This window comes from Homo sapiens, chromosome 9 (assembly GCF_000001405.40).
Source record: "Homo sapiens chromosome 9, GRCh38.p14 Primary Assembly".
NCBI lineage: Eukaryota > Metazoa > Chordata > Mammalia > Primates > Hominidae > Homo > Homo sapiens.
Window position 1 is genome coordinate 111,113,579 of NC_000009.12, and position 10,665 is coordinate 111,124,243.

Consider the following 10,665-nt stretch of genomic DNA (forward strand, 5'->3'; position numbering starts at 1 on the left):
AGACCCCATCTCTTAAAAACAAAAGAAAATAAAACAAAACAAAATTAGTGCTTTATGGCTTATGTATAGAGAGTTGGTTATATCTAGCATGAATTCTATAGGTATTTTTAAAGACAAATCAAGACATTTACAGTCCTGTAAATTTTAATATCCCTAAAAGCTTGGAATTGTAGTTATAGCTGCCACTTCACTTCAAAAGAACTGACAAACTAAAAAGAAGAGAGGAAGTCAGGGCTGGGCGCCATCTTGGGGAGACAGTCACAGGGGTTTGGGAAGCTTCAGAAGGCTAATAGCCCAGGGATGTTTCCACTTCCTGAGTTCCATCCTTATCTTTCCTGACTTCCAGGGGCTATAATTTGGAGGCTGCATTCCACAAAAGAATCCTAAACCCCCGTGAAGTAACTGTGAAATGCCATGCCTTAGCATAGAGCTGAGGCCAGGGTAAACATATGGCCCAGGTAAGAATAGAGAAGAATTGTAAACAAGCTTAAATTATGTTTTCCCATCTTAGTTTTATTTTGGTATGTCTATGACACAATATTAGAAACATAGTAAAATTCAACAAAATGTTGAATAAGGGCAAATATGGAATCTATCTAGGAGACTAAAGATATTTGGTTTTATGTGTCTAAACTTGAAAATAAATTGGAAGTTTCCTAGATGCTGTGGGCCACGGCTAATATCCAGTTACTGTCAATCGCTTAGGAAACAGGGGAGTCCATTTTGACAGATTACATTCCATGATTCAGGAAGCTTAATTAGACAAAGGAGAAATGCTCTGCACTAATCTAGTTCATGAACAATTTCTTTAATCACAGAGTCTTTAACTCTATGCCAGGACATTTTATAGTCCTCACGATGCAAAATGCATGAAAGCCTTCTTGGGTTGCCTTTTATTCTATTTCCTTTTTGACTATTAATTTTTCCATACTTGATTAGTTTTAACAAAGAAAATACTTTAACATATATCCGTCTTAAAATATAAAGTAACACAAAAATGTTTTTTTGAAAGTGACCATTTTTCCTCTTTCATTCTATGATCAAAAAAATTGTTTTTCTTTGAATCACTTCAAACACCAGAGCATCTGTTTTAAATATAATGCTTTTGGTAGATTTTCCTCCCTGATTGTTGTAAAGTAATACATCTGCTTATTGGTTCATCTTGAATTCCAGATAAAATGATGTCTGATTCTTTTTAAAATTAAAATATATGAGGAAATGATATATGATTATATTATTCATATTTAGAGTACTATATTTATAGGTATATACTTTTGTGGTAAAACTTCAGGATACTGGCTAGCTCCTGGGAAGGAGGAAAAAGAAAAGATGGACTTCAGCTGTATCAGTAACATTTTATTTCTTTAATAAAAAGAAAAACCTAAAGCACTTATGACATGGTATTAACATCTATTAAATCTAGTGTAGGATGTAGAGGTCATTTGCAACTGCCCCAAGAACAGCCACCAAAACCTTACGAATAAAGCCAGTGTTAAATTTGTATGAACTGTAAAGTATAAAAAATGAGAGAAATGAAGATCAAAAACAAAAGATATCATGGTACAATGGGAAAAGACCTAGCTTTAAATTCCTAGCTATGTTACTTTTTTTTTTTTCCAAGACGGAGTCTCGCTCTGTCACCCAGGCTGGAGTGCAGTGGTGCGGTCTTGGCTAACTGCACCCTCCGCCTCCCAGGTTCACGCCATTCTCTTGCCTCAGCCACCCGAGTAGCAGGGACTACAGGCACCCACCACCACGCCCTGCTAATTTTTTTTTTGTTTTTTTGTATTTTTAGTAGAGTCGGGGTTTCACCGTGTTAGCCAGGATGGTCTCGATCTCATGACCTCGTGATCTGCCCGCCTCAGCCTCCCAAAGTGCTGGGATTACAGGCATGAGCCACCGCGCCCGGCCGCTATGTCACCTTTTAGATACGACTTAGAACAAGCTATTGAATCACTCTGACCCTCAATTTTCCCATTTGTAAAAAGGAATTCAGTAACACATATGTTGCAGATTACGGGGAGTATTATGTATTATACATGTAGAATGTAAAATGATTATCTTGCCCTTGCATAATCTACATAGAATGAGGGTCAACATTATATACAGATTCATCATCAATGATTATCAACAGATAGGTAAAGACATAAAATTCACTTCTACATTGACTTCTAGATCTATTGAAATAAACATTTTTAAAGTTCCAACAAACATATTCATAAGCAAAACACTGTAACAGTAATCAAAGCAGTGAGGTGCTAGTGTGAAAATAGATTATATAATAATGAGTCTGAATACAGAGAAGAGTTCAAATAGAAGATGAAAAATGAAATAAGCTATATATTGAAAGGGGGTAATTGGAGAAAACTTTCCTTTAATTATTATTCATTTTATGAAGGAAAAACAACAGGAAATCAATGGAACTGTGGTAGTCAATGGAACTCAGAGGGGAGGAAAAAAAGGAAAATTAATCATTGCTTTCCCAAGTGATATCTCTTATTAAAGCTCAAACAGAAGTTATTTAAGGTTACACAGCTAGCAAGCGGGAGAACCTCAAAGCTAGGTTTAATTTCATTCTTAAATCTGTACTTTTTCATTATTCTATAAAAATATTGCCTCTCTGGACCTAATTCTGATCAATACAAAGGATTCTTCCCCAATTCAAGGTCACCCCAACAATGTAAGTTACAGGCATAGATCTTTCTTCTTCAGATTGCCCAACTATTAACTGTTGAACCAAAACAGCCACATTCATTTTTAGAAAAAAAAAATCATCAAATCTAATTCATAGAAAGCAATTTTTTTTTTTTTTTTTTTTTTTGGAAACAGAGTTTTACTCTGTCACCCAGGCTAGAGTGTAGTGGTGCAACCTTGGTTCACTGTAACCTCCACCTCCTGGGTTCAAGTGATTCTTCCTCAGCCTCCCGAGTAGCTGGGACTCCAGGCATGTGCTACCACACCCGGCTAATTTTTTGTATTTTTAGCAGAGACGGGGTTTCATCATGTTAGCCAGGATAGTCTCAATCTCCTGACCTCATGATCCACCCACCTTGGCCTCCCAAAGTGCTGGGACTACAGGCGTGAGCCACCGCACCCGGCCTCATAGAAAGCAATTTTCTAACTGCTCCCAGAAATACCTAGAAGGATCCACATTCTATTTCTCTTGAGATTGAATCGAGGGAGCTCTAGTAACATTTATTGAGCATCTGTTATAACTAGATAGTGCACAATTGGCTCTCCATGGTCACAGATTTTGAATCTGTGGACTCAACTGACCATATACAGAAAAGATTTTTTAAAAAAATAAATAATAGTGCAACAATAAAAATAATACAAATAAAAAACGACATAGCATAACAACTATTAACATAGTGTTTACATTTTATTAGGTATTACAAGTAATCTAGGGATCATTTAAGGCACACAAGAGGGGCCAGGTGCTGTGGCTCAGGCCCGTAATCCCAGCACTTTGGGAGGCAGAGGCAGGAGGATCACCTGAGGTCAGGAGGAGTTCAAGACCAGGCTGGCCAACATGGTGAAACCACATATCTACTAAAAATACAAAAATTTTGCTGGGTGTGGTGGCACACAGCTGTAGTCTCAGCTGTTCAGGAGGCTGAGGCACGAGAATCATTTGAACCCAGGAGGCAAAGGTTGCAGGGAGCCGAGTTCACACCACTGCACTCCAGCCTGGGTGATAAAGCAAGCCTCTATCTCAAAAAATAAAAATAAATAAATAATAAAGTACACAAGAGGATATACAGAGGTTATATGCAAATACTATGCCATTTTATATCAAGGACTTGAGCATCCATAGATTTTGGAATCTGCAGCATTCCTGGAACCAATCCCCTCACAATATGACTGTGACTGTATATGTTTTGCCCCTTAGCATTACTCCTTATAACGACCAAGCTCAGACATTTTGTTTTAGAGATGAGGAAACAGAAGTCAAAAAGGAAGTCAATCAGTACATACAGCTATTTGGGAGAAGATTTATACCCAAGTGCTCTGAGGACAGAATACATTCAATAACTTAGTAGCTTTGAGCCATAATTCCTTTCCTAGGGCAGCATCCCAGCAGGGTTTGCAAGGGATTCCTGTCACTCTAGGTTATATTATACTGTTTGACACTTCAAAGCATTTCCTAGTATTAAAACATTGTAGGAAGAGATGATACGTGAATCTCCACCTACTAACATTATGCTCTCCATGCCCCTCAATGACTTGTTAGCTAAAATGCACACAGAGATTAAGTGGTCCAGAAGGCCGAGATGGCCTTTTGTTTATTTGCTTGTTTTTGCTAGAAGGGGTTTATCTTAGTCCATTTTGTGCTGCTGTAACGGAAGACTACAGATGGGTAATTTACAATGAACATAAATTTATTTGGCTCACAGTTCTGGCGGAAAGGAAGTCCAAAATTGAGGGGCTGTTGTCTGATGAGGGCCTTTGCTCTCCATCATCCCATGGTGGAAGATGGAAGGGCAAAATAGGGTGAAAGAAGGAGATGGCTGAATTTGTTCTTTTATAAGGAACTCACTCCCTTGATAATGAACCCACTCCCAAGAGAAAGACACTAATCCATTCATGAGGTGGTACTCCCATGACCCAAACACCTCCTATTAGGCCCCATTTCCCAGCAATACCACATCAGGAATCAAGTTTCCAACACACGAACCATGGAGAACACAGTAAAATCATAGCACAGGTTGTCTCCTCTGAGTCCCTGATGATAGAGAGCAACTACTTCAGCTGAATCACTGCAAACCAGACTCTGCTGGTCAACAGTCTCTATCCAGTGAAAAACATTTCAAATTCCTGGAGAACATGACTATTCCATGAGACACTCAGTATCTAGACCCTGTAAAGACCAAGATTTTAAAACTAATCATCTATGACTAGTATGCCAAGCTGCATATTAAATCCTTGTGGCAACAATTTGACTTCAGAGGGCCAATATGAATGACACCAATTCAGGCCAGTGTATTCAAGGGCAAATAAGAATTTAAGAAATTATGTAAAAATTATGGAAGAAAATGCTTTCCCACCCACCCATTCTTGTTCATAGCTGATTGTTCTATGTTGTAAATGGAGTTTGCATCTCATTCAATTGGAATGTAGTGCCATAAACTTCTAATTTGAATTGAAATCTCTGTAATAAAACAAATACATGCCACAGGACAGACTCAGACAGCAAAAGGGCACCAGTGTCATTTGTTGGTCAGTAACCTCCAATTGCAAGGAGTAATAGCTATATATTGGACAGTTAACATAGTTCACAATAACTAAACTTTATCCTAGCTTTTCTAAAGTATTTCTGTAAAATGATTTTATATTATAATGACATCTGGCTAGCAGTTTCCCATTTAGCTTGTCTACTTCTTACTAAAAAGACTATGAAGACAAAGAAAACAAAAGACAAAAATTAATCACAAACTAAATCAAATAAGTATCTTCTAATTTAAATGATCTGTTTTATTTGCCTAGAAATATGCATTTTTGTCTTCAACCCTACAATTAAAAATGTTTCCAAGATATATTTAATTATGGATTTCTTTTCATTAATTTTGCTCAGGAATATTTTCCTACCTTGCAGCTTTAATTGTTTCGATTTTTCTACTTGTTCTGGGTCTCTTCTGTAGGATAACTGGTTTACAATAAAACCAGAAGAGTCTGTGAGTCTCTTCTACAGCTATCATTTTCTCTTTAATCATTAACCTTTTCTTCAGCATTTTACAAGAACATATCCATTTTGTATTCTACTTTATTGATGAGATTTCCCACAGTCTGAATTTTCTCCTCAAATGTGAATTTTAATTACCATGTTTTAGATTCCTTGTAGCCATTTTTATCTGCTACTTTTTTTTTGAGACAAGGTCTGTATTAGTCCGTTTTCATACTGCTATGAAAAAACACTTGAGACTGGGTAATTTACAAAGAAAAAGAGGTTTAATGGACTCACAGTTCCACATGGCTGGGGAGGCCTCACAATCATGGCAGAAGGTGAAGGAGGAGCAAAGGCACATCTTACATGGTGGCAGGCAAGAGAGCATGTGCTGGGGAACTGCCCTTTATAAAACCATCAGATCTCCTGAGACTTAATCACTATCATGAAAACAGCATGAGAAAAACCTCCCCCCATGGTTCAATTACCTCCCACTGGGTACCTCCCACAACATGTGAGGATTATGGGAGCTACAATTCAAGATGAGATTTGGGTGGGGACACAGCCAAAACATATAATTCTGCCCCTGCCTCCTCCTGAATCTCATGTCCTCACATTTCAAAACCAATCATGCCTTCTCAACAGTTCCCCCAAAATCTTAATTCATTTTAGCATTATCTCAAAAGTCCCTTTTTCCTATCAGCCTGTAAAATCAAAAGCAAGTTAGTTACTTCCTAGATATAATGGGGGCACAGGCACTGAGTAAATACACCCATTCCAAATGGGAGAAATTGGCCAAAACAAAGGGGCTAAAGGCCCCATGCAAGTCTGAAATCTAGCAGGGCAGTCAAATCTTAAAGCTCCAAAATAATCTTCTTTGACTCCATGTCTCACATCCATGTCACGCTGATGAAAGAGGTGGGTTCTCATGGTCTTGATCATTTCCACCCCTGTGGCTTTACAGGGTACAGCCCCAGTCCTGGCTGCTTTCACAGGCTGGCATTGAGTGTCTGTGGCTTTTCCAGGTGCTGGGTGCAAGTTGTCAGTGGCTTTACCATTCTGGGATCTGGAGAAAGTAGCCCTCTTCTCACAGCTCCACTAGGCAGTGCCCCAGTGGGAACTCTGTGTGGGAGCTCCCACCCCACATTTCCCTTCTACGCTTCCCTAGCAGAGGTTCTCCATGAGGGCTCCCCTCCTGCAGCACACCTCTACCTGGACATCCAGGTGTTTCCATACATCCTCTGAAATCTAGGCAGAGGTTCCCAAACCTCGACTCTTGACTTCTGTGCACCCACAGGCTCAATACGACATGGAAGCTGCCAAGGCTTGGGGTTTGCACCCTCTGAAGCCACAGCCCGAACTGTACCTTGGCCCTTTTTAGCCACAGCTGGAGTGGCTGGGATGCTGGGCACCAAGTCCCGAGGCTGCACACAGCAGGGGGGCCCTGGACTGAGCCCAGGAAACCATTTTTCCCCCTAGGCCTCCAGGCCTGTGATGGAAGCAGCTGCCACAAATGTCTCTGACGTGCCCTGGAGATATTTTCCTGATTGTCTTGGTGTTTAACATTTGGCTCCTTGTAACTTATGCAAATTTCTGCAGCTGGCTTGAATTTCTCCTCAGAAAATGGGTTTCTCTTTTCTACTGTATCATCAGGCTACAAATTTTTCAAACTTTTATGTTCTGCTTCCTCTTGAACACTTTGCCACTTAGAAATTTCTTCTGCCAGATACCCTAAATCATGTCTCTCAAGTTCAAACTTCCACAGATCTCTAGGGTAGGGGCAAAATGCCACCACTCTCTTTGCATAGCAAGAGAGACCTTTATTCCAGTTCCCAGAAAGTTCCTCTTGTCCATCTAAGACCACCACAGCCTGGACTTTATTGTCCATGTCACTATCAGCATTTTGGTCAAAGCCATTCAACAAGTCTCTAGGAAGTTCCAAACTTCCCCACATCTTCCTGCTTTCTGAGCCCTCCGAGTCTCTAGGAAGTTCCAAACTTTCCCAGATTTTCCTATCTTCTTCTCAGTACTCCAAACTGTTCTAACCTCTGTCTGTTACCCAGTTCCAAAGTTGCTTCCACATTTTCAGGTATCTTTACAGCAGCAGCCCACTCCTAATACCAATTTCTGTATTAGTCCATTTTCATACTGCTATGAAGAAATACCCAAGACTGAGTAATTTATACAGAAAAAGAGGTTTAATGGGCTCACATTTCCACATGGCTGGGGAAGCTTCACAATCATGGCAGAAGGTGAAGGAGGAGCAAAGACATATCCTACATGGCAGCAGGCAAAATTGTGTGTGTAGGGGACCTGCCCTTTATAAAACCATCAGACCTCATGGACTTATTCACTATCATGAGAGAACAGCACAGGAAAAAAAACCTGCCCCCATGATTCAATTACCTCCCACCAAGTCCCTCCCATGACACATGGGGATTATGGGAGCTACAATTCAGGATGAGACTTAGCTGAGGACACAGCCAAACTGTATCAGGGTCTCACTCTGTTGCCAATGCTGGAGTACAGTAGTGCAATCATGGCTGACTGCAATCTTGAACTGCCGAGTTCAAGTGATCCTCCCACCTCAGCCTCCCGTGTAGCTGGGACAACAAGCTACAACTCCTGAGCTCACTGATCCTCATACCTAGGCCTCCCAAAGTGCCTGGCCTTATCTGATATTTATATATACTCACCTCCCACTAAAATGCCAGCAGATAATCAAACAGGGATTATTTCAAATAATTCCAGCCAAATTGCCTGTCAGAAATGGAGGCAAGAACTTCATACTTCAAGAGATACAAATGCTTAGAAGATGTACTATCCATATATTCTTTCTGGAAAAAAAATGGATTAATATCTCCATTTTATTTTTATGCAAACAGCTAATGAGAGGTAGAAAAGAAGTAAAATAATGGCAGGGGAACATCCTGTTGCATATCCAACTCTCTGGTAATCAAAGAAATAGGTTTAAGGGATACTTTTGAAAATTTTCAAAGCACATACTAAAATTCCAAAATGTTACAAAGGTAAAAGCAAACAAACATAGTCTATACAGCAAAAGATAGAAAACAGAGAGAGGAAAATGGCCAAACAGGAAAACATAGAAAATCTCAGAAGCAAATAAATAAACAAATAAATAAATCTACCATAAGAAATGTAAATTGAATCACCTTCCTTAGGAAATTGAAAAATCCTTCTGATGTATCAGAAAACAAAGCTCCATTTCTATGAAAAAATTTTGAAGCAAGAAATGTATTAAAATGGCTAAAATAAGACTATGAGCAAAGATACAAGCTAATATGAAAAAATAAAGCAAGAGTAATATTAATATCAGATAAATTTGAACTAAATGCAAACAACATGAATTGGGCCTAAGAAGAAAATTCATATTAACAAAAGATCTATTACAAAATGAAAGAATAATATTCATGAGTATTTATATACATTTTAATGAAACATAGAAAGAAATAGACACTGACAATAGCACAACCCTATTAAGAAATATTTGCATTGTTTTGGTTGAACTACTAAAAGCTTTTAACAAGCTATTACTATTGATTGTAGACAATATATGGTGTTTGAGGTACTTTAGAGACATAATTTTCGTGTATATGTGAATGAAAGTTCCTGAAGAATGCTCAGATCAGTGGAAGGGGTGGCCTAGAACAAGCCAACTCTTAAGAGTTCTGAGATAAACAGTGACCAGATATTTTAAAAGCCTAAAGAATTATGTGATATCATAAATAGTTGTGCTGATCTAAAGCATATGCTGCATCCTATAGGAAAATATCCTAATTGTGCAGGATTTTTTCTCCCAGCTCCCTTTAACAAGTCACTCACTGCTTCTATGGTACATGGTACTACTAGTGAATTTCTTAGGCACATGCCCTTTAACATAATTCTTTCACCATTTCTTGGTCAGAAATGTTGTATGGAGTACCATGACAATAAATAGAGCAGTCTATAAAGCCACAGGAATTTGTATGCATGTACTTGAGGATAAATTGTTACCCCTTCTAGAATGACGACGGCAGGTCACCTTGGGAAATGGTGCCATATCAGGACCTTAGCACTGGTCTCATTTATTGGTAGGGTAGACAATCATCAGAGTAAGCAAAATTAGCGTTGGTAAGGGGAAATCCACACTCTAAGCCCACGTATAATTTTCAACCCTGCCAACATGGTCACTTTGTGCATAAATTCATCAAACAAGTCATTGAAGGAAAGAGGCTAGCTGATTTCCACAGAATGGATCATCTTGTCAACCTAAATTCTGAGATCTCCCTCTATAGTAGGTACCATGTGATAAGACACAGATATCTTCGCCCATTTTGGCCATTCTGTAAGGTCCATCCACATATCTCATGTCATCAGTTCTGGACTTTTCATGTCTCATATATGCTGGCTGAACAGTCAGAGTTTATTTCCCATCATTTGGCATGCATATATCTTACTAAGGCATGTAGGCCACTTTTTACATCCTGCTTACCAAATCAAATTAGCATAAGGTCACGTATATAACAAACCAGCATGATGTTCTGTGATATATCAAGATCCCCAAGCTCTGCCAGACTGTAAGATAATAGATATCAGGAGAGTCAGCATAGCACAAAGTCAAGGCAGTGAAGGGATACTATTCTCCCTACCATTGGGAGGCTAAGGCAGGTGGATCACTTGAGGTCAGGAGTTCAAATCCAGCCTGGCCAACATGGGGAAACCCCACCTCTACTAAAAACACACAAAAAAAATTAGCCGGGCATGGTGGCAGATACCACCAGTTACTCAGGAGGCTGAGAAAGGAGAATCACTTGAACCCGGGAAACGCAGGTTGCAGTGAGCTAAGATGGCGCCATTGCACTCCAGCCTGGGTGACAGAGCAATACTCAGTCTAAAAAATAAAAAAATAAAAAATAAATAAATTTGCTAATAATTGTAATTACGCATTAGAATTAGAATTGAACAAAATCCATTTTCCAGGTCAATAGTTTCATCTAAAA

The 10,665-nt window shown here is 39.1% G+C and overlaps 4 annotated features.

Moving 5' to 3' along the window:
• Positions 308 to 477: an enhancer, noted in NCBI's record as "experimental_105528 CRE fragment used in MPRA reporter constructs". NCBI's record gives its function as "activates a minimal promoter by MPRAs in K562 erythroleukemia cells, with activity observed for both the introgressed and non-introgressed 9:113876251 variant alleles {active_cell/tissue: K562}" and the evidence as "EXISTENCE:reporter gene assay evidence [ECO:0000049][PMID:34662402]".
• Positions 4,173 to 4,342: an enhancer, noted in NCBI's record as "experimental_105563 CRE fragment used in MPRA reporter constructs". NCBI's record gives its function as "activates a minimal promoter by MPRAs in K562 erythroleukemia cells, with activity observed for the introgressed 9:113880116 or rs872068 variant allele {active_cell/tissue: K562}" and the evidence as "EXISTENCE:reporter gene assay evidence [ECO:0000049][PMID:34662402]".
• Position 4,258: a transcriptional cis regulatory region, noted in NCBI's record as "Neanderthal adaptively introgressed variant 9:113880116 (GRCh37/hg19 assembly coordinates) or rs872068 in the experimental_105563 CRE". NCBI's record gives its function as "modulates activity of the experimental_105563 enhancer by MPRAs in K562 erythroleukemia cells {active_cell/tissue: K562}" and the evidence as "EXISTENCE:reporter gene assay evidence [ECO:0000049][PMID:34662402]".
• Positions 10,131 to 10,300: an enhancer, noted in NCBI's record as "experimental_105573 CRE fragment used in MPRA reporter constructs". NCBI's record gives its function as "activates a minimal promoter by MPRAs in K562 erythroleukemia cells, with activity observed for the non-introgressed 9:113886074 variant allele {active_cell/tissue: K562}" and the evidence as "EXISTENCE:reporter gene assay evidence [ECO:0000049][PMID:34662402]".